General features: G+C 36.1%; 1 protein-coding gene across 20 annotated transcripts in view; it reads left to right on the top strand.

Annotated features, from left to right (window-relative positions):
• Positions 1-24938, top strand: part of PCDH15 (protocadherin related 15) — a 1825172-nt gene that overhangs the window by 1490588 nt on the left and 309646 nt on the right. For 19 of the 20 annotated variants that reach the window (XM_047425663.1, NM_001354420.2, NM_001354429.2 and 16 more), the window contains one exon: positions 4348-4480. The exons of the other annotated variant lie outside the window; for it this stretch is intronic. In XM_047425663.1, the coding sequence (XP_047281619.1) occupies positions 4348-4480 (133 nt within the window). The remainder of the gene's footprint in view (positions 1-4347; positions 4481-24938) is intronic. 20 annotated transcript variants of the gene reach the window in all.

Genomic DNA, 24938 nt, shown 5'->3' with positions numbered 1-24938 from the left:
ACCTTTATTACCAGGTGAAATATAATAAAGCTTTATGAGATTCGTTTTTAGAAATGGAGATTTATCTGCATCATACTGGCTATATTACAAAAATAAAATTTTTCTTATATAGATGCTCAGTTTTATGCATTTAGCGATAAAATATGAATACAAAATGCTTGCGTAAAGTGTTATTTATATAGTGACTGCCCTATTTTATTAAGTGCTTAAATGATGCTGTTGAAATACTACTATTTATTACAGCATAAATACTATTATTTTATTGTTAATACTATGGGTATTTAATTTTAGAAAAGCTAACTCTGACACTGTGCTGACATCAGGGATAAAAAGGAGATAGCATTTTAAAAGGCAGTAACCCTCAAGAAGCCTGGTGGTTATTTAAACACATTATAGGGACATGCCAGGATGTTGAAGATGAAAAATACAAGACCTTAATATATGATCTCCTCCAAATAACTAACATTCAAGACCAAGGGGGTGGGGGAACACAATTAGCAATTCTAGCTTTTGAATTATTGTGGAAAGGAACAGAGGAAGCAAAGGAGTAAGGACGGATCAAGGAGACGGTCATGTTGGGCTAAAATTTGTCTCTGTGTTTTGTCTGAGACTAGAGTCCTCTTTGTTTCAGCATTTTAAAGTTTTCGACTCTGTGACAAGTATCCAAGTAACTCATACGAGTTTAAGGTCCTTATTGTAGCATTGTCTCACTTTAACCCTCTACAATGGGAAGATAATGAAAGGGAAAGGAATAAAGAAATACAAAAAGTATAATAAGTGTAGTTTAACTATACTTTCACAAGCTTTAAGACACTGATATTCTTGTAAAACCTTTATAAAGTATTCTTGACCAGTAAACTGAAGATCTAAAGAATATCGAAGCAGAAAGGGCCTAGCTTTTGAAAGAAAGCTTCGAATCTGCAGTACAGATATGTTCCAGGTCAAAAAAAAAAAAATGTTAAACAGTGAGGAAGTCTCTTGGATCCAGGGTTATTGAAGACGTTAAGTGACTTTGTAGAGTTTTTCTCCTGAGGTAATTTAAAAAAAACAGGTGAGTCTACATATTGTACTTTTCATGAGATTCTGAAGCAGTGGTCTTCAAAGTCTAGTTTCTATAAGTAGAACTTTGGAAATTTGTGAAAATTGTAGATTCTTGTATCCTACCCTAAAGATTATGATACAACATGCTCAAATTCTAACACCAACATACCCCATGCTCAGGAGGGGTGAAGGAGTATCAAGCCTTTGTAGGAATTTAGCCAAGTGAAAGGATTCAATTAAAATATCTACAGTATTATAAAGGATGTAGCTAAGGAAAATGCAAGATCGTTTGCACTATTCATAGAGTGGAATAAGAAACCTTAAGCCTTATTTTGAGTAATTTATTAAAATAAGTTATAAAAGTATGTTTCATATATATGTATACATGTACTTACATATACAAATATATAAACTTATTTCATCTTTATGCTGACCTTAGATGTTATTATTATTCCCACTTATTATGTGGAAATAATGAAGCTGAAAGAAATAATTTGCTCTAGATCATTGAGGGCAGCGTCAAAATTCTAACTCAGGAATATCTGGTTACAAATTCTGTGTTCAACATCACTCACCTACTTTTATTACCAATAACGTTGTAGGACTTGTTATGCATAGAGAATGTGCTATCAGAGAAAAGAAGGAGATTCATAAAATGTTTTAAAAACTTGATCAACAACAGACCCTAAAAGAAGCCAAGATCTTCAAGGGTAATATCAGGGAAAATGTTTTACATCTTGGGGCTGCTTCTGGAGTCAGATCACCACCTGGAAGGATGTTAGGTCTACCTCAGAATGACGATTCTTTTGTTCTCACAACACGGAAGTGGGAATCTTTGCAGTATACAATACATTTTGTAACTTCCCATTGTTTCATGTTTACATTAATAATTATAAGTATATAAGCAACATTTCATCATCAGTTTGAACCCATTTAAGAAATATAATCTGATTAACTGTATTGGCAAATTTTGATACTAAATAGATAAAATCAGAGGCAGAAATGAATACAGATATTTTAACTATGAAAGTTTAAAATATTTTAATTTAAAGTGAGATTACTTTAGAACAATATCATGATAAATGTAAGCATGAAATTTTTTTTTTTTTTTGAGACAGAGTCTCGCCCTGTCACCCAGGCTGGAGTGCAATGGCACGATCTCGGGTCACTACAACCTCCGTCTCCCGGGTTCAAGCAATTCTCCCTTCTGCCTCAGACTCCTGAGTAGCTGGGATTACAGGCCACCATGCCTGGCTAATTTTTGTGTTTTTTAGTCGAGATGGGGTTTCTCCATGTTGGTCATGCTGGTCTTGAACTCCTGACCTTGTGATCGCTCACCTTGGCCTCCAAAAGTGCTAAGATTACAGGCATGAGCCACCGCACCCAACCATGAAATTTTTAAAAGTCACTGTAGCTTTTATGCTTACTATTCTATTGGTATCTATCTACTGATGATATGCTCAGAAACAACTTGAATTTAGGTATATTATAAAGTGACAAGCTATAAAACGAAATTTTAGTGCCTATGATCTGAATTTCTTTTTTTTTTTTTTCTTTTTTTGAGACGGAGTCTTGCTCTGTTGCCCAGGCTGGAGTGCAGTGGCGCAATCTTGGCTCACTGCAAGCTCGGCCTCCTGGGTTCACACCATTCTCCTGCCTCAGCCTCCCAAGTAGCTGGGACCCCAGGCGCCCGCAACCACGCCAAGCTAATTTTTTGTATTTTTAGTAGAGACCGGCTTTCACCATGTTAGCCAGGATGGTCTCGATCTCCTGACCGCATGATCCACCTGCCTCGGCCTCCCAAAGTGCTGGGATTACAGGTGTGAGCCACCGTGCCCAGCCTGAATTTCTTTCAAAAGGTTTTGAAAAGTAGAATGTTGTAGTTAATAAACTCAGACAAATATTTTTGGTGACCATGTCTTTTAATTGAAGCATCTTATAAAGAGTTTGGGACTACTTTAAGGAGATTCTAGGCCAGGTGTGGTGCTCATACCTGTTATCCCAGCACTTTGGGAGGTTGAGGAGGGTGGATCACCTGAGGTCAGGAGTTCGAGACCAGCCTGGCCAACATGGCACAACCCATCTCCACTGAAAATACAAAAATTAGCCAGATATTTTGACACAGGCCTGTAATCCCAGCTACTTGGGAGGCTGAGGCAGGAGAATCACTTGAACCCGGGAGGTGGGGGTTGCAATGAGCAAAGATCATGCCACTGCACTCCAGCCTGGGCTGGAGAGCAACTCTCCGTCTCAAATAAATAAATAAATAAATAAATAAAGATTCTCATCCCCAAATAGAAATTATAACAAATGTGTTTTGAACTAAATCATGACTTTGTTAAATTCAAAGCATACATCTTAGGCAGTGGTGGTATGTTTGTACAAAATGTTATATGTATGTGTGTGTGTATATGTGTGTGTATATATGTGTATATATGTGTGTGTGTGTGTGTGTATGTATACATATATATGTTTTTTCACGATAGAGGGCTAACCTTATGTATTTTCAGATCTCATTGATATATTTCAGCTAATGTTTCCACCTTACAAACCTTGACTAACATGCTTCTTCAGTTTTTGTTTTATAAAACAAATTCAAAGTTCAGAGATATCAAAGAAGTTGACTATGTCAATGCTAATTTTTTTTCCTTGTAATGATAAGGTATCTTGTCCTTCAAGAAAAGCTCCTGTCATTATAAGGGCTTTATTAAATCTAATTCCTAGCTTATCATATATTGCTTTTTAGAGAAGATTTTAAAACGTATTTAGTTTTGTTTGCAACTATTTTACGTAGGATTCTTTATGATCCTGACTCCTCACATGCACTTACATTAAGCCATTGATGTCAGCAACAGAACTGATAAAACGCAGCCCATAATTTGTTTTGTGAGTTATTGTAATCAATACTCCCTCTGCTGGTTTAACAGCAAAAAAGCCCCAAGGACAGCTTTTATTACCAGATGTTTATAGAATGATTTTGCTATTAGAGAAGCATTAAAAACAAAGTCAGAAGTCAAGGCAAGTTAATTTATTAGCTTTATTTGTATAGCTATTCCATTTTAATTCATACTATTAATCTAAGTAGGAAAAACAGATACTGGAGTCAATTACTTTTACTAAGATAATTTCATAAAACCATTATACTTTGGTGGTAGTTTTTTCTATCCTTTCATTTTGATTGTATTATTTTTCATAAAATTTGGAAATTTTTTCTCCTGTAAACCCAACAACTGAATAAACAATGCAGTCTAACATTAAATGTGATGCAGATTCGTAACCATCTTCTTTTCCTCTCTTTCTCTGCAGGAACTCCATCTGCACTGTGTATATTGAAGTGCTTCCACCAAATAATCAAAGCCCTCCTCGCTTCCCACAGCTGATGTATAGCCTTGAAATTAGTGAAGCCATGAGGGTTGGTGCTGTTTTATTAAATCTACAGGTATGTTCCTTGGTGTGTGTGTGTGTGTGTGTGTATAAATTCTAAAGTGACAAGCTTGGCATTTAATGAGTTTATATTTGTGTATGGAGGGAGAAACCTCACATGCTTGCCTCCACTCTAGTGAATGAAAATTCCATCTGGAAAGGAAAGCAAGGGTAATATGGATGGAGGGTTTCCACAGCTAATCTATTCTATTGATCGCCACAATTGAAGAACTAACGTTTGGCAGGCAGGGATTAGCTGCAATCATTACAGGAGAGAATGAAGGGATTGGAAACACATACTTGAATATTTTATACTTTGGATCCAAAGAGTCTGCAGCTGACTATTATTTTCTGTCTTGTATGCCTTTTGTCCAGCTGGATTTATTTTTGATGCAGTCTTGTGTAGGGGAATTAACTTTGTACTCAAAGGCTGATGGTAGGCATTCTAATTCTGAGACAAACCCCACTTCATTTTATGGCCATAGGCAAATCTTGTAATTGCTGTGGTTTTTATTCCTTTAGAAGAAGGGGGTAGTTTTAGCTGATATTTTTATTTGTAGCTAGAGATTCATGAGCATATGTGTTACTTGCAAGATGATAGCTTGGTGTTCACTGTTTATATATTTCTGACCAAAGTATCTTTGGCCAGGAAAAGCTCTATCTTTGACTGAATATGCAGCTTCAAGTTGGGCTAAATACGGTGTTGATATATTTTCACTTTGCTATGCCAATCATAAGAATCATAAGATGACGTACTATTTTCTATATGAATGTTCAGAGAACAGAGTTTATCTTCTGGTGTTATGTGGTAATTGCAGAAGTTGCTGATATGAGAATTCATGAAGCTGGCCTTAAAGCCTAGGGGAGATTTTAACATGACTAACCCAGGAAAATCCCAGCATCAATCTTTACCATCAGCTGACGTGACATAAGGCACAGCTACATCTCGCTTAAATCCCATTCGAATATTAACACCCTGTCACTTAAATTCGGATGATATAAAAGTGAAGATTTCATAGAATGTTTGTATTGAAAATGATGCAAAAATAACACATCAATCTTATTTTTGAGATGTGGAAAGCTAACCCCATAGAAAGTAACTGCTGCTTAAAATCAGTTGATTGAGTTTTCATCACTTCTAAAACAGGGCTATTTCTGTTATATCCTACTGATTACTGATAGCTGCTGAAATTTTCTTGGCATTACCAAGTACTACTTTGTGTCTCTACTCTAATATTTATTCTGTTGCTTTTCTCCAGGTACTTAGAGAAAGTTTGCTTTAATTGATCATTTAATATTGAAACAAAATTATATGAAGGTAGAGATATTAGTAATATGGAAATTTGGAGGATTTTCATGAAATAATTAAAAGAAAGGGAATAAAACCTACAGTCTCTTTAGGAGGAAAAAAAAGTCAAAGTATTGTAATGATAAAGAATAGAAAAAATCAAATATTAAGATAGTTCATTTAATGGAGTAATAAGATCTTTGTCTTTACATTCATGGGAACTCATTTATTGAAGCAAGAAAAAAATAAGAGAAAGAAAAGGAAAACAAAATAAATTTTACATGTGTAAGATTCAGGTCAAGAAATTATACATTTTATATTTAAATATTTGTCAAGTATGTGCCTTTATGTAATTTAACTTTCTATGAAGTAAGACATAATTTTACTTGTAAAGTGGCTCAGGTTTCATTTTAATAAAATCCAGGAAGATCTAGGAAACATATTATAGTTCAATAATTCTACCTGTGAGTTAAAGATGAAAAGAAGTTGGCCTTTTTCATATTTCAAATTTCTCTGGTACAAAGGCTGAAAAAATACTTGAAATGACATTTCTATTCACCCTTTGTGCTTCTGGTAGAAGGAAAAGAAAGGATGCCAACTGTAGTGGCAGTCTCTATTAGAAAGAACAAGGGTAATACCATGAAGGTACTTTTCATAGGCCACTAACCACCCACTTTTGTTCATGATCAACTGAGACTACATTTAAACTAGTGACCTAAAAGTTGAAAAGCTCCCGTCAAATTACTCTTCAAAAGTCTTCTAATAACAAGATGCATTGGAGGTACCCTGGCTGCCTCCATCCTCATCCTTTTCACACTCTAGCACTACCTACAGCTGACGCACTGCTCAATTTGGAAGACAGAATTTGAGGGGAAATATAGTTTTGAAGATAGCAGCAAATTGGCTTCAAACTAATCTGTTTTGATGGAGATCAAAGTCGTTTCTTTTCAGGCAACAATTCTTGTTTCCCCTCCTCCCACTTCCCCTTTTAAGAACGGGCCTTTTATGGTATCCAAAAGTTGTTTGAGAAGCAGTGATTTTCCTCAGTGCATGAATGCAGTTTTGCCTGACGGCTGTATTGATGGCATTCACTTGAGGAAAATAGGGCTCTGCTTTCTCAAACCTGTTATGCTAATAAGGGTCAGTTATAGGTAGATTTTTTTCCTCCAGCGTTCTCACCGGCCAGTGAAACTTGTCACAGTCAAATGCTGGAGCCAGACCGCGCCGAAATCGTGAGAGCCAGTCATGTGCATCTCTTCCTGACTCTGTGCAGCTATGTCATGTTACCAGCTAAACATTGCTATGGTGGGCATATTTATGCCACAGAAATCATCAAATACAACAAATCAGTGCCTTTCACTTCAAAGTTTTTTTGTTAAGCATTCATCAGCACACCACCCAATATAGAGCTAATTTCCTCGAGTATTTACATCAACAGAGTATGTTCACTCAAGCAGCTTCCTCCCTCTTTGTCTGTCTGAATTTTTTATCTATTTTTATCATACTAAAGATGAGGCAAGGGTACTAAATAAAACTATGTTTTATACTCAAATATTCAAGTATTTCTTTTCTTCACAAAAGCGTTGTTTCCTTCCAAATTACCCTTTCATGTAACTCACATTCCATTTGGCCCACCCCACCACCATTTGCATATTTCTCCTTTTTTAAACACAAAATTTCCATGTATCATCTCTGCCGTCTCATCCCATAAAATAGTAACACAGTTGACCCTTGCACAACCCAAGTTTGAAATGCACAGATCCATTTATATGCAGATTTTTTGAGAGATATAATATAAATCCTGCCTATTTGGAGAGCCAACCTTTTGTATACAAAGGGTTCCATAAGACCCACTGTGGGACTTCAGTATGTGTGGATTTTTTATATACTCAGAAGTCTGGAACCAGTCCCCTGTTTACCGCCAGGGAGCTATAATTAACACTTAGTGTGGCACTTAATATGCGGTCAGGCACATCTTATTTACTTTAAATTCTTTACTTATGGTATCATTAAGGATAGTTAGCTCATATTATGGACACATACACAAACTCAAAATCTCAGTGATTTAAAACAAATAATATATATTTCTTACTCACACTATATGTCCATCATGGATCATCTCCAGTTCTGCTTTTCATCGTTTCTACTTCCCTTCAGAATAGTGGAGCAGCTTCTATCTAGGGAAATGTTTTTCTAATAACAAACAAACAAAAGTATAAATTTAAAAAATGGGTTAGTTCAATAGAGTTTGATAAATCAGTGTTCAACAAGTTATCTTAATTCAAATTATTACTTTTTACTATAATATGTATTGATCGTTTATTTGAGTTTATTTCTAATTTTTTACTTACAAACCGAGATATGTTACTGAATGTCAGCTGCGTTAACTTTCTTTTAAGAGGCTATATTTCTTTGACATATGTATAACGCATCATTTCACTTGGTCATTAACCTGACCCTAACAAACAGGTCGATCTTATTATCATTATTATCGGGAAAATGAAAAGAATGAGACTCAGAAATGGAAAGGTTTATGAGCCACATTAGTTTTTCTCCCTTTGATTAATAAATCAGTGCTCTATCCATTACATCACATTCTTTTAGATTAGGCTGTAGAGAACTATTATATTTTATTTTATCTGTTTTTGGAGGGATGGGAATGTTTTGTATTACATTAGTTCTGTATTTTCCAAAGGTTAATTTTGTGATGTTATATTGGGGTAAATGTACTAATGTTTAAAATATATACAATTTATTTTAAGGCTCTTATGAAGAAACACTTTAGAGAAATATGAATTGACTATTTTCCTCACTTGGAGATTATAGAATAGAATACAGATAAGAACCTGAATAAAGCACAATTGAGCAAAAGTTATTCATTTCTCAGATTTTATCTCAAAAAGTTCCTGATTCTGAGTACAATACTCCAAAAAATCCAAGTAAGAGAGGTCTCAAATAGTACTAGATAACATTATTTTATAAATAGGTGAGGTTGAAATTGTTGCTAGTCCAGTGTTATTACAAAAAAAGTCTGGCAAGGATTGAGAGAAGAAAATCCCAAAGAAATTCACACAAAACAGGGAAGATCACCATTCAATACTCTAATCAAATAGCTGCTTAGATTTGAGTCAGTACAACTAAAACAAGGGAGAGAACATTGGAGAGAAATGTGGTGGTGGAGTGGGCAGTTGGCAAGAAAGCATCAACTGTCCCCTTGAAGATCTTGCCCAGTATTGTAGGTGAGATCAGTCCTGCCTGGATCCGTAAATCTCAGAGTTTGTGCTTCTAATTATAAATAAAATAAAGGATACTGAAGCATGTGAAGAAGAGAGGTATGCATATCAAGATGTAACACAGACTACCACCTGGACATTAGCTAAAAGATACGTTAGAATTCCATACAGTGCCACTAGATCACAGGATTGTTGCTTGATATTGAGCCTCTTAATGGTGGAATTTATTGGGGGTCCTTCCTCTAGCACAGTAATCCTAGAACAACCTCAATACAGATAATTCATCTAACGAATACATTTTTCTTTCTTCATCCTCTCTATCCCAGCACCAGAGGGAAAATAAAAGGAAAAAAGACAAGAACATGTGTGAGATTATCACATCCACCCACCCTGTTCCCAGTCCTTAGAAATAAAATTAGTTTTAAAATAATGAAGAAAATAATTTAAAAATAATGAGTAAGGCATCATATTAATTAAAATGAGACAGTTTTGCAAAATAACAATTATAGACATAAATTGAGACATCATTGATGAAGCCAGCTACACAGCAGAAATGAAGATGATCAATATAAAAGCCTGAAAAGATCTTGGGAAGAATAAAACTGTTTCATTTTATTCTTAAGGAGCTGATATTCCTTATTCAAACTGAGTATAATATAATGCAGGCTTGGACTTTTGTATTTACAGCAAAAGCAAGAAAAAGGAAAAGATTTGGAAACTTTATGAAGGTACTATAAGAGTTAACAATTAAAAATTAAACAAAATACTCAGCTGGCCCTTCCTCACTCCATTTCTAGACTCTTAATTGGATATTTTCCTACATTATATGTTGAGCAAAGGTATAAAGTATATTATTCTCAAGGCCTTGATATTTGTTCCAACATGGCTTATTTACGATAAAATTCTTAGTTCCTTTAACACTTCTACAAATAGTCAAAATATGCAGTTATCAGCAGTGAGTGTGTGCCTGATTGAAAAGAACAATCACTTACGAACTAGTGTTGAATCAAATGATCCATTCACCTACTGCTGGCGAGGTCATCCCAAGAGAAATTCAACCACAATTTGCCAAATGGATAACAAATGTATACATGGGGAATGGAATAAAAGTATGACCCTTTTTGCAATGGAATAAAAGTATGACCCCCTTTGCACTTAATGTGTTCCTTTAGGAGTGAAGGATTGGGATTTAGGAGAAGATAAAAGCTGGCAATTTTCCTTTGACTTAAAATGTTTTTCTTACTGTTCTCTCTTTTTTTTGTTTTTGGCTGCTACTTTCTTATTTATGTTAACCTGTGGACTTACATCTGAAAATGAGTGGTAGTGAAAACAATAATTTACTTGAAATATGTCCGTATTGCTTTTAAAATAACAAAGAACATTTACAGTGAAGCACAGATTGACCAAATACAGTTCCTGGGTTAAATGGCCTATGTTTTGAGAGACAAGTAAGATAGAATATTTTTTGTATTTTAAAAGGTTTGTAAGAAACATATAAACAAACAAAAATATGGAACCAAAAACAAAAATTAAAGAATAATATGCAGAGTCTATATGTGAACCACAAAACCTACAATTTTTACATTTGACCTTTTACTTTTTTTGTGAAAGGTCAGATGTACTGACCTTTGAATGATTGATAATCATTCAAAAATAAACAAAGTGTCCATTATATTTATGTTAAGTATAAAGCCAACTTTAAAATAGAAAATATATTTTTAAAAGTGTTTATACCCCTATAATGTAGCATTAGTTTATTATATTAAATTAATTAAGGGATCATACATTTAACCATGTCAAAGATGTATCTCACATTAGCTAGCTAAAAATACAAGCAGGATTACTTGTCAAGAATATATTCAATAAATATTTATTAAAATAATGGGGACTATCTTATCTTTCGTATTTAAGGTACATAAGGAGGCAGGATAAGTGGTTGGTTAATAGGAGGGAGGTTGATTGTCTTCAGTGTAGGGAAGAGGAGATTAAATGAGATAGCAGGTAAATTGCAAAGAGTTTGAAATGTAGAAAAAAGTGTTTGAGAGGCTGAGGGGTTGGATTACCTTAGGTCAGGAGTTTCAGACCCATCTGGCCAATATGGTGAATCCCTGTCTCTACTAAAAATACAAAAATTACCTGGGTGTGTTGGTGCATGCTTGTAATCCCAGATACTTGGGAGGCAAAGGCAGGAGAATCAGTTGCACCTGGGAGGCGGAGCTTGCAGTGAGCTGAGATCATGCCACTGCACACCAGCCTGGGCCACAGAGCGAGATTCGGTCTCAAAAAAAAAAAAAAAATGGTAATTCTTTTTATTCCAATTTTCTAAAAGGAATCTGTTTTCCTGTTAACTCATAAACTCATAAAAGATTTTAGGGTGAACAAGAAGGTACTGGGCATTTGAAATAATGAATAAAAAAATGAAATGTAAAAGAGGAGAATGGATACATTCCAAGAAATTCCACTTTATTATTTTACTAGCTATTCTATTGAGAAAAAAGGGTCAATTGCAATTTAAAGAACAAACTGACACTTTGGATGCTGAAGATATAGATGGCTAAGAGATCAATATTAATAATAATAGCATCAATACCTAATTTTAATTGATGCTATCATAAGCCAGGAACTACACTAAGCACTTGAAAACTTCTCCATTTTTAATACTCCCAACAAAGCAGAAGTAACTTTTCCTATGTCAAAGAGAATCCTGTTGCAGATGTGGGATTAGAATGCAAGCTGTTCTACCCTACACTCTCTGTACTATTATTCTATGCTGTCTTCTCTAAGGAATGAAATTTCCTTATTCCCTTCAGCTTTGCTTAGACTTGCCCACAATCCCTTCAATAGCAAAGTACATCTACCTATAAGGTGAATCATTGTTTCTCTTTCAAACATCTACTTGATAAGCCTTGATTTAATTTTTTGTGGTTGCTTCATGATTCTTAACAAAAGTAAAATAAAATTATTATACAGAAAGTGTCCACTGACACCCAGAACATACAAATTTTGCTACTGCTTTAAAACTTCTGGTTCCACCTCCCAGTGAGGTGACTCGCTCTGATGCTTTGATTCTCTTTCCTTTTCCTGGCTTTTTCTTGTTGGAAACTGCAATAACAGGTATAACAGCTCAGAGACAAATAGCAGGAGAAAATAGAAAATGACGAGAAACAGACCAAGAAGTTGAATGTTGACACCTCCAGTTACCTGAAGGGAAAAAAAAAACCACACATTTGACTAATGAACGAATTGGGTGTAAGTCTAAAAAGGTGTTTTGTCAGCTTGCAGCATGTGTTTTCTTTTAATCTTTATCCATTCTTCTCATTTTTGAATAGTTTCAAGAAGCCATGGAATTTAATGTCTGGGCCTCAAGGAATTATTATTTTTAGCCCTGAGGAAAAATTTCTGCTGCCTTGATCTCACTACAGAATTGATCTTGTTCCAAAACAGTTTGAATTAAATGCAAGCTGTCTTACAGCATGACCCTCTGAATTAACAGGTCCTGTCAGAGGTATTGATTTGTTTTTCTGATATCTTTGAAAGGTTCTAGAAATTTCAGGGTTTTTACTTCTCTTTCCCTTTTTTGATGAATATTTCTTGTAAAATAGGATGCATTTTTGCTCTGAAGATGATACAGGAGTTTATGATTCATGAATGTTTCACAGCTGGTTCAGGTACAGTGTGCGTGAATCATAGGCACTGCATCGTAAAATTTATAATGTCACGTGTATTACAAGGATTACTTTGGATATTTGCAATTTGCTCTTTTGCAATCAAAGATGCTTTTATTTTTTTCAGATTCATTATGTTTATTTCATGGCAATGCCCTTTTTCATCTTGTTCATCTGGCAAATTCCTACATATCTTTTATTATTGTAGTTGTAATAAAAATATGGAACACGATACTTACCATTATAACCATCTTTGGCATTAAGTACATTCACATTTTTGTGCAACATCATCACCGTCTGTTTCCAGAACTTTCTCATCCTCCCAAACTGAAACTCCGTACTCAGTAAACACTAACTCCCCAAACACCAGCCCACAGCTCCTGGCACCCACCATGTAACTTTCTGTCTCTATTAATTTGACTGTTATAGCTACCTTATATAAGTGGAATCATATAGCATGTGTCCTTTTGTGTCTGACTTATTTCATTTAGCAAAATGTATTGTTTGTTTTTCTTTTAATTTTGCCATTCTTTATTTTTCCGTTTTTATTTAGATTCAAAGGGTACATGTACACGTTTATTATATGGGTATGTCACATGATGCTGATGTTTGGGGTACAATTAATCCTGTCACCAAGGTAGTTAGCACAGCACCCAACAGTTGGTTTTTCCAGCCTTGCTACGCTCCCTCTCAGCCAGCCCCCTCTAGTACTCCCCAGTGTCTTTTGTTCCCAAGTTTATGTCTACATGTATGCACCATTTAGTTCTCACTTATAAGTGAGAATATGTAATATTTGTTGTTCTATTTCTGTGTTAATTCAATTAGGATGATGGCCTCCAGCTGTATCCAGGTTGCTAAGAAGGACACAATTTCCTTTTTTAGGGCTATGTAGTATTCCGTAGTGTATATGTGCCACATTTTCTTTATATGCTCCACCACCGATGGGCACCTAGGTTGATTCCATGTCCTTGCTATCATGAAGAGTACTGCTGTGAGCATACAAGTGCCTGTGTCTTTTCAGTCAATTTATTTTCTTTTGGGTGGCATTGCTGGGTCAGATGGTAGTTCTATTTTTAGTTCTTTGAGAAATCTCCAAACTGATTTCCACTGTGGCTGAACTAATCTACATTCCCACCAAGAGTATATAAGTATTCTATTTTCTCTGCAGCCTCCCATCATCTGTTGTTGTTTTACTTTTAAATAATAGCCACCCTGACTGGTGTGAGTAGGTATCTCATAGTGGTTTTGACTTGCATTTCTCTGATGATTAGTGATATTAAGCATTTTTTTCATATATTTCTTGGCTACTTGTATCCCTTTCTGTTGAGAAGTGCCTATTAATGTCTTTTACTCATTTTTTGATGGAATTTTTTGTTTTTGCTTGTTTAATTCTTTAAGCTACTTGTAGATTGTGAATATAAGACATTTGTTGGATGCGTATTTTGGGAATATTCTCTCCTGTTCTGTAGGTTATCTGTTCACTCTGTCGATGGTTTCTTTTGCTGTGCAGAAGCTCTTTAGTTTAATTAGGTCCAACTTATCAATGATCATTTTTGTTGCAATTGCTTTCGAGGACTTAATCATAAATCCTTTGCCAAAGGTGATGTCCAGAATAGTGTTTCCTAGGTTTTCTTCTAGGATTCTTATAGTTTTAGTTCTTACATTAAAATATTTAAGCCATCTTGAGTTAATTTTTGTATGTAGTAAAAGGTAGGTATCCAGTTTCATTCTTCTGCATATAGCTCACCAGCTATCCAAGCTCCATTTATTGAATAGGGAGTCCTTTCCACAGTGCTTATTTTTGTCAAGGGTTCCCTTTTTTTTTTTTTTAGCAGTGTTTTGTAGTTCTTCCTGCAGAGATCTTTTACCTCCTTGGTTAGATTTATGCCTAGGTATTTTACTTCTTTTGTGGCTGTTGTAAATTGAATTGTGTTCTTGATTTGGCTCTTAGTTATTGGTGTATAGAACTCCTACAGATTTTTGTTCATTGATTGTATCCTAGTACCTTGCTAAAATTGTTGATCAGTTCTAATAACTTATTGAGAGAGTCTTTAGGGTTTTCTAGGTATAAAATCATATCACCAGTGAAGGCAGATAGTCTGATTTTTTTTTCTTTTTTTTTTGCTATTTGGATGCTTTTGTTTCTTCCTCTTGCCTCCAGCAAATATATGAAAAAAAAAGTTTAACATCTGGCTAGCACTTCCAGTGTTGTCCTGAATAGGAGTGGTGAGACAAGATCTCTCTGTCTTGATCCACTTCCAAGAGGAATGCTTGCAGTTCTGATCATTCAATATGATGCTGGCTATGGGTTTGTTGTAGATAGCTTTTATTATTTTGAGATATGTACCTCTGATGCCTAGTTTCTTGAGGGATTTTACCATGAAGGGATGTTGAATTATGTTGAAAGCTTTTTCCGCGTCTCTCGAGGTGATCATATGGTTTTAGTTTAAATTGTGTTCATGTGATCGGATCACATTTACTGATTTGTATATGTTGAAATATGATGAAACAACCTTGAATCTCAGGAATTAACCCTACCTGATCATCGTAAATTAAATATTTGATGTGTTGTTGAATTTGACGTGTAAGTATTTTGTTGAGAATTTTTGTGTCTGTGTTCTTCAGAGGCATGGGCCAGTAGTTTCATTGTGTGTGTGTGTGTGTCTGTCTCTGTGTGTGTGTGTGTGTGTGTGTGTGTGTGTATGTGTCTTTGCCCGGTTTAGATATTAGGTGATGCTGGCTTCATAGAATCAGTTAGGAATCACCCCTCCTTGATTTTTTGGAATAGTTTTAATAGAATTACTATCAGCTCTTCTTTGGACCTCTGGTAGAACTCAGCTGTTAATCTATCTGGACTGGGGCTTATTATTACTGTTTTTTGGTTGTTAGGTTTCTTATTACTGATTCACTTTTTGAACTCAATATTGGTTTCATCAGTGTTTCAATTTCTTCCCGATTCAATCTTGAGAGGTTGTGTGTTTCCAGGAATTTTTCCATTTCCTCTAGATTTTCTAGTATGTGTGCATAGAAATGTTCATAGTTGTCTATGAGGGAGTTTTGTATTTCTGTGTGATCGGCTGTGACATTACACCACTTTTGTCATTTCTGATTGTGCCTACTTGAATTTTTCTTTTCTTCTCTTTATTAATCTAACTAACAGTCTATTGATCTTGTTTATCCTGTCAAAGAACCAACTATGAAACTATGGTTTCATTTATCCTTTGTGTGGAATTTTGGGTCTCAATTTCATTTGGTTCAACTCTAATTAGAGTTGTCTTATTTTCCTTCTAGCTTTGGGATTAGTTTGTTCTTGTTTATCTACTTCCTCTAGTATAATGTTAGATCATTAATTTGAGATCTTTCTAACTTTTTGAGGTAGGCATTTATCACTATAAATGTTCTTCTTAACACTGATTTTGCAACATCCCAGAGATTTTTTATGTTGTGTTTCTGTTTTGATTTATTTCAAATAATTTTTTATGTTTCTGGCTTGATATTGTTGTTTACTTAAAAGTCACTCAGGAGCAAGCTGTTTAATTTCCATGTAATCATGGGGTTTTGAGAAATATTATTGGTATTGCTTTCTATTTTCATTCCACTGGGGTCCAAGAATATGGGTGCTGTGATTTCTTTTTTTTTTTTCATTTGCTGAGACTTGCTTTATGACTCAGCGTGTGGTAAATCTTGGAGTATATTCCCTGTGCAGTTGAGAAGAATGTATATTCTGTGGTGCATGGGTGGAGTATTCTGTAGATGCATATTGGATCCAGTTGCTCAAGTGTTGAGTTTAAGTCCAGAATTTCTTTGTTAGTTTTCTGCCTTGACAATCTGTTTAATGCTGTCAGTGGGGTCTTGATCTCCCTCACTGTTATTGTGTGGCTAAGTCTTTGTATAGGTCTAGAGTACTGGTTTTGTGAATCTAGACTCTACAATGTGGGGTGTGTTTATGTTCTAGATAGTTAAATCTTCTTTTTGAATTGAACCCTTTATCATTATGTAGTTCCTTTCTTTCTTTCTTCTTTTTTGTTTTTAGTGTTGTTAGTTTAATCTCTGTTTTATCTGATATGAGAATAGTAATCCCTGTTCTTTTCCTTTTCTGTTTGCATAGTAGATCTTACTCCATCTCTTTACTTTGAGCATCATTACTTTACTTCATGTATCATTACATATAAGGTGGGTCTCTTGGAGACAGCAGCCATATGGATCTTGGTTTTGTTTTGTTTTTAATCCAACTTGCCACTCTGTGCCTTTTAAGGGTGGCATTTAGGCCATTTATGTACCAGGTTAATATTGATATGTGAAATTTTGATTCTATCATTAAGTTGTTAGCTGGTAACTTTGTAGTTTCTATTTTGTTGTTGCTTTATAGGGTCTGTGGGCTATGTACTTAAGTATGTTTTTGTGGTAGCAGATATGGTTCTTGGTTCCCATGTTTAGAACTACTTTAGGATTTCTTTGAAGGCTTTCTAGTGGTAACAAATATTCTTAGTACGTGCTTGTCAGGAAAATATTTTACTTCTCATTTGCTTAAGATGCTTAATTTGATGGAATATGAAATTCTTGGTTGGAATTTGCTTTCTTTAAGCATGCTGAAAATAGATCCCCAGGCTCCCCTGGCTTGTAAGTCTTCTGATCAGAAGTCTGCTTCAGCCTGATGGGGTTACCTTTGTAGGTGATCTTTCCTTTTTCTCTATCTGCCTTTAAGTAGGAGTTGAACAATGATAACACATGGACACAGGGAGGGGAACATCACACACCAGGGCCTGTCAGGGAGTGGGGAGCTAGGGGAGGGATAACATTAGGAGATATACCTAATGTAGATCGCGGGTGGATGAGTGCAGCAAACCACCATGGCACATGTATACCTATGTAACAAACCTGCATGTTCTGCACATGTATCCCAGAACTTAAAGTATAATAATAATAATTTAAAAAAACAATGAAATTCGCTATTTTGAGCTTACTGCTAAAAAAAAAAATTTTCTTAAGTATTGATGTTGGACAGTCACGTGGCTGTATGCCCTAGTGAAGTCATTTTATATAGTATCTCACAGATGTTCTCTTGATTTCTTGTTTCTGGATGTCTACCTTTCTGGCAAGATCAGGGAAATTTTCTTGAATTTTTCCCTCAAATGTAATTTCCAGGTTGTTTTCTTTTTCTCTTTCTCTCTCAGAAATGCCAATAATTAATAGGTTTGATTGTTTTACATAATCCTTTATTTCTTGAAGACATTGTACATTTTAAAAAATTCTTTTTTCTTTATTTTTGTCTGACTGGGTTACTTCAGAAGGCTTATCTTCAAGCTCTTAAATTCTTTTATCTGATAGATCCAGTCTATTAATAAAGCTTTTGATATATTTTAACATTTTTCAAGAGTTTTTTTGATTCCAGAAGCTGTAATTGATTACTTTTTAAGACGTTTATCTTTTTCTTTAATTCCTGAATTGCTTTAGAATTTTTTTGTGTGTTAATTTTCAAGTTTGTTTTGGATCTTATTGAATTTTTTTGCAATCCATGTTTTATATTATTTATCTGTCATTTCTGAGTTTCCATTTTGGTTAGGGACCATTGCTTAAAATCTAGTGGAATCCTTTGGTGGTATCACTACATTCAGATTTTCATGATGCCAGAATTCTTGCACTGATGTTTTCTTATCTGGAGACACTAGGATTTTTAATTTCTGTAACTTTTTCATGCAGGTGGGATATTTTCTTTGTTCTTTCTTTCTTTTTATCAACTGGACACCATCGTGGGAGCTGTTTGCTGGTGTTTTCCTCTCCAGGATCTGGGGTATTCTTCATAATTCCATTGGATTCCCGTTTTTCTTCTTAAAGTTCACAGAGTTCATTTTTATGATTTATTTTGCTATTTTCAAGTGGCTGAGGCGCACCAAAGTCTCTAATTCATCATTTTGACAAAAAAAAATAAAAATAAAACTTTCCTAGGTTTTCTTCTAGGAATTATAGTTTTAGTTTTTAGTTTAAGTATTTAATGTATCTTGGGTTAATTTATTTTTTTTAATATTTATTTATTTATTTATTTTTGACACAGAGTCTCACTCTGTTGCCCAGGCTAGAGTGCAGTGGCACAATCTCGACTCACTGCCAGTTCTGCCTCCTGGGTTCATGCCATTCTCCTGACTCAGCCTCCCAAGTAGCTGGAACTACAGGCACCTGCCACCACGCCTGGCTAATTTTTTGTATTTTTAGTAGAGACGGGGTTTCACTGTGTTAGCCAGGACGGTCTCCATCTCCTGACCTCGTGATCCGCCCTCCTTGGCCTCTCAAAGTGCTGGGATTACAGGCGTGAGCCACCACACCCAGCCGGGTTACTTTTTTTTATATGATGAAAACTAGGAATCCAGTTTCATTCTTCTATGTATGGCTAGCCAGCTGATTTAATAGGGAGTTTTTCCTCATTGCCTATTTTTGTGTACTTTGTCAATGATCAGATGGCTGCAGATGTGTGGCTTTATTTATGTGTTCTCCAATATATTCCATTAGTATATGGGTTTGTTTTTCTACCAGTAGCATGTTGTTTTGGTTACTGTAGACTTGTAGTATAATTTGAATGCAGGTAGTGTGATGGCTTCAGCTTTGTTCTTTGGCTTAAGATTGCTTTGACTATTTGGGCTCTTTTTCACTGCCACTTAAGTTTGGAATAGTATTTTCTAGTTCTATGAATAATGACATTGGTAGCTTTATAGTAATAGCCTGGGGGCCCAGCTGTCAGTTCGGCAGATCAGAATGAGAATTTAGGGTGCTGCTTTTGGGCCTGCCCCTGGCTGCCCATGGACCAATCAGCATGTACTTCCTCCCCTATGAGGCCCATTAAAACCCCCAGACTCAGCCAGACTCCAGCAAATGACATAACAACTTGCCTGCAGATAGGAGCTACCCACCCTGGGTCTCCTCTCCACGAGGGCTTCACAGACAATGAGATGACCTTCCTGCAGAAGGGAGCCACCCACTGTGGATCTCCTCTCCACTGACAAGCTGGACCTGGGACTACCTGCCTGAGGAAAGGAGCTACACACTTTGGGTCTCCTGAGAACTGTTCTGCCACTCAGTGAAACTCCTCTCTGCCTTGCTCACCCTCCATTTGTCTATGTACCTCATTCTTCCTAGATGTAGGAAAAAAACTCAGGACCTGCTGGTTGGGCAGGACTAAAAGAAGAGCTGTAACACAAACAGGACGGAAACAGGCACCCCATCCCCGACACCACAATGCAGACAACAGGAAGGAGAGAAGAGCTGTGGCCCTTTATGGAACCCAGATCTAAGGGCTCCCCAAACCAGGGCTGTGACACCCTCCTTGGGGTTCTGCAGTTCCTGGCATCTCCAAGCTTCCACAAGCCACCATATTCCCCTCATCCAGATGCAGGTGCCTGCATCTGGTCCAACCACAGGCTTACATGGACCTTCCTCCTATACTGGCACCTGGAGCTGCCTGCCCTCTTGTAGCAGCCAGTGTGCCTGGCTGTGCTCAGTGACTGGACCCCACATTCACTCACCTTCACACCCCTTTGCCACTCTGCTTTTGGCTCACACTTGGCAGATGTGGGATCTGGGCCAGTAGCACAAACCGAGCACAGCTTGTCAGGCTGCATAGGTGGAACAAGCCCAGCAGTCACAGGCAATCCTCAGGTAGAAGGTGCCATTGGCCGCAGAAGTTTCCAGCTGGCGAAGCAACACCAAAGCTCCTGTGATACTTGTACTTCAGTAATTAAAAATAAGCACTCCTCATTTCTGTATAAACCATTTCTTTCACTTGCATGCTAGATCAGTGCTTCTTAAAGTTTCTGTTATAAAGGGTGCATTTAAATGAATTACTAGAAAAATGAAATACAAAAGATGTAAAATGAAAGCCATTTTAACTGTTAGATTCAACATATATAAAATTACTGTCAAATCACTTTAAAATTTTCTAAACACAACTCAGTATTTAATGTCTCATCATGATCCATAATCACTTTGCAGAATGACACTGGTTATTGGACCTCACTAGCACTTAGGACTGGAAATGTAATTGGCAAGGCCCAATGCAAATCTAAAACACACACCTTCTAATTGTGGGCTCTTTACTCTGACTCTGATCTGATTGAATTCTACTGATTCCATGTATGTCTACTCTGAAGGATGTTGCTTCATAATTTCCCTATGTGCTTCTTACATCATAAGCATCCATTGCTCTACCTGATCATTTCCATCAGCATGCAATACTGCCATTATATCTTGCAATTGAACACAAAGCAACAACAACAAAATTTCTCTTGGTCCCGTAAACCTTCTAGCAATTTATCCATTTCTGTGCTTCCCTTCACTGTGGAAACTTCTCAAATATATTGTTTATACTGGCCTGAAGAAAGTTGTGGTTATTCTCCTTTCCAGGATTATCTGTTGACTCCATTGTAACCAGGATTTCAGTCACATTAATCCACTCAAATGGCTTTTTTTTTTTTTTTTTGCATTTTCAGTGCCCATTCCATTGACAACTTAATTTCTCATCTTACTCAACCCATCCTCATGATGTGACAGAATTGATAGTTTCTTCTTTATTTAAAAATTTAATTAGTTGACCTACAGTGTACCCCAATCTCCTGGGACTTTTTCCATACTCCCAGGCTGCTCTATTTTTGTTTTCTTTGATACTTCTTCCCCTTAACTTCCCTGACTTTTAAAAATTGAAACACCCTTCTTTCAACTTTAACCTCTTCTTTTCCTATTTCCATTCACTCCAAAGATTATTTCAACAGATCTAATGAGTTTAAGTGGTATATGCTCATAACTTCTAATTCAAATGTCTAGTTTAGCTCTCTGTCTCAAAACTATAGATCCATGTCAATCTGTAACAACAGTATTTCCCTTTGGTTACTAAAGAAACATCTTTTGTAGGTTGGGTTTTCTGGGAAGCAGACTTTGAAATTAAGATTCAATTACAGGATCTTTATTAGGGAGTGTTTGGGGTATCAACTCCTATTGAAGGGAGGGGAAGAAAGCAGTATTGTATGTATGGAGAAGTTAAACTTCAGTGCAGTCCAAGTAAAGCTTTCAGCTGCCTACAGGGAAAATTATGGATGTGATATGGTCCTTCAGGGTTGTAAGGCTGTGACAAGGAGATAGGCTGTTTATATGTCTGCATCAATATTCATTAGACGCAGGTTGCCTCAGAAAGCTGCTTGACCTTGGGCTTTCCTCAGATGAGGCATTCTCTGAATAGGACTGATAGCTGAAGCCTTTCAGTGTGCAACATTTCTAATGTATAAGGGAATAATCCCGTCATTCCTTGAAGGAGGATGTGTGAAGCATATCATGGTGTTTTTTATCAGAGCATCTCAAAATTAGTATTTCCCATGCTCAATGCTTGACACTTACTTTCCATTATCTTAATGAAAACAGGTGGTCCTTCTGCATTTTCCCTACCCAGTAAATGGCAACTTTATCCTTCCAAATTCTTGGGCCAAAACCCTTTAAGTGAACCCTGACCTTTCTCTTTATCCACAGGCCCCCTTGTCACCAATGAATCAATAAATTTGGTTGGTCCAAAGATATTTACATGATTCTACAATTTCTCACCATTCCCACTGCTTTCACCCTAATCCTAGCCACCATCACCTACCTCCTACTTAGATTATTGCAATAGCTTCCCTACTGGACTGCTCCAGCCCACCGCCCTGCCCTTTTGTGGTCAGTTGCAGGCAACAGAATAATACTTTTTAAAAAAATTACCTAAAATGACTTCACATTTTTGTTAAATTCCTGACATGGCTTCTCAGATTACCTAAGATAAAAACAAATGTTGTACTGATAGCTACCTGACCTCATCTCCTACTTCTCATCCTTTCACTGATTCCACTCTAGCCTTACTGACCTCCTGGAACACTGAGTGATTCCTACCTCTGGAACCGTTCACTTGCTATTTCCACTACCTGAAAGGCTCCTTGTTCAGATATTCTCATGACTTAGTTTTTCCCTTCCTGCAGACTTTGCTTACATTTCCTTGGAGTGAAGTGGTCTTACCTACCCACCTTATAAAAAATAATAATATTCCAACATGCTGTGCTTTCTGTTAACTTTATCCTCTTTGCTGTAATCCTATATGCACTTGTGCTTATTTTGTGTTATATTGTCATGCCAAGTATTATATTAGGTCCATAATCACCGAGAGTTTGTTTTATTTGCTATTATATCCCTAGTAACTACAACAGTGCCTGGAATATACTATGTAATCAATAAAAAATTGTTGACTATCATGTGGATCTGATTTTAAGAAAGGCTGCAACTGAGGTTTCAAATGGTGCCTTGGTGTGTTGCTTTCTACTGTCTTCTTATTGGTTAGCTCTGTGTAGACTTCATTTTCAAGCAGCCTCTGTAATGAAGACAGTTATGATAACCATCTTGTTTTTTACTAACTCTGTAATGAGGACTTAGTGTTATGTAGCCTTGAGATGACATCTAGGAAATGGCGGATTCAGGGTTTTCTAAAATAAAAAGAAACCCAAGTGATGAAGTATAATAAATACACTATAGAAATTCAAAAAATAAAAAAATATTTAAAAAGCAGACAGAATATTGATATGGTTTGGTTTTGTGTCCCCACCCAAATCTCACCTTGAATTGTAATAATCCCCACGTGTTGTGGGAGGGACCAGGTGGCAGGTAATGGAATCATGTGGGCGAGATTTTCCTATGCCATTCTCATGATAGTGAATAAATCTCACAAGATCTGATGGTTTTATAAAGGGAAATTCCCCTGCACATGCTCTCTCTCTTGCCTGCCACTGTGTAAGACATGCCTTTCTCCTCCTCTGCCTTCCACCATGATTGTGAGGCCTCCATAGCCATGTGGAGGCCTTTTTTTCTTTATAAATTACACAGTTTGGGGTCTTTAATAGCAGTGTGAAAAAAACTAATACAAATATAATTAATAGTAAAGGAATACATTTTAAGAAGATATGTTTTAGACTTTTCTCCAGAGAATTGTTGCTGTCCCAACAGTTGTCTTTACAAATAATGATTGCTATTCTTTCTAAATTAAGATGTGCGTGTGTGTGTGTGTGTGTGTCTGTGTTGGGAGAAGGACCGGTAGAGAAGTGCAGAACACAGTATAAAGAACAAGATTTATTTAAAAGACTGTTATGGGGACTCTGGGACTCTCCCTTTGAGAAAGTGTGCATATGAGGACACGGTACAAATTAACAAACTCAAGCCACATTTCTTCACACTACAGATATTGCCCAGAGCACATTCACACTGTTCTAAGATGGAGAGACTGCTGTAGTGAGGCCACTGAGTGTACATGTTTTGCTGCCTCAGAGAATGATGTAGAGTTGGAAAGTGAGGAGAGTCAAGATGAATGCTTAAACGTGCTGAATTAGTTATTGTTTATCTGGAGTAAACAAAACATCTTCGGTAATATAGTATCTGCCTCTGTACTACAAATATAATAAAATATATCCCCTCAACTATAAATTTGTTTTATATGTACACTATTATACAAATGCCTATTGTTATTGTTATACATATTTGAATTTGAATTTGGAGAAATGCCTACACATGTCCAGTTCCTAGGACCAAACTTCCCGGAAATTCTCTTTTTCCCTGGCAATTGTCAGCTCCTAAAACTGCTTTAGGCACCACAAAATATGCTAATATCAGATGTAATCTCTGTGATATCAGGATTTAGAGTGCTAGAAAGGTTTTGCAGTTTATTTCATTCCCCAGTAAGCTTAAATCATTTTCAGATTTGAAATACCAAACTTTTCTCAAGAGACTGAAAACTTCAGTCTACGTAACTAATCAGCAATAGTGCTCTCCTTTGAAGTTTCAAACATCCATGAGACTTCTTGAACTGTAATGAACTGTTACCCCAGGTTTCATATCCCCAAGATTATTGTGAGTTTAGATTAGCTTTAAATATATTATTATTTAAAATTGTGTGGATTTTCACTCTGAATTTTTTTCTTATATGTAAAAATGTGTGACCTCTATTGGGAACATTTTGAGAGACATGGGAAATGATGCATTAGAAATTAAATAGTATTTATGTCTCCACCTGCCTGAAAACCAAATCCTCAGAGCAGGGGAGGACTGTAGAAATCAGTGAATGTGTTTTGAGATGAGTAACAAGTGGTTGGTTACAATAACTCTGACTTCAGGAAGCATATGTCTCAGCTTTTATGAGATAGTCTCAATTTCAAAAACTATGTGTTGTTTTAATTGGACTCTATGACAGATAATGCATTTTGAGATTGATAAAAGCAATGGATCTCTGTCAGATACAATTTT

The sequence above is a fragment of the Homo sapiens genome, chromosome 10, assembly GCF_000001405.40.
Source record: "Homo sapiens chromosome 10, GRCh38.p14 Primary Assembly".
NCBI classification, from domain to species: domain Eukaryota; kingdom Metazoa; phylum Chordata; class Mammalia; order Primates; family Hominidae; genus Homo; species Homo sapiens.
The sequence above is the reverse complement of the archived record's forward strand: the minus strand, read 5'-3'. Positions and strand labels throughout refer to the sequence as shown.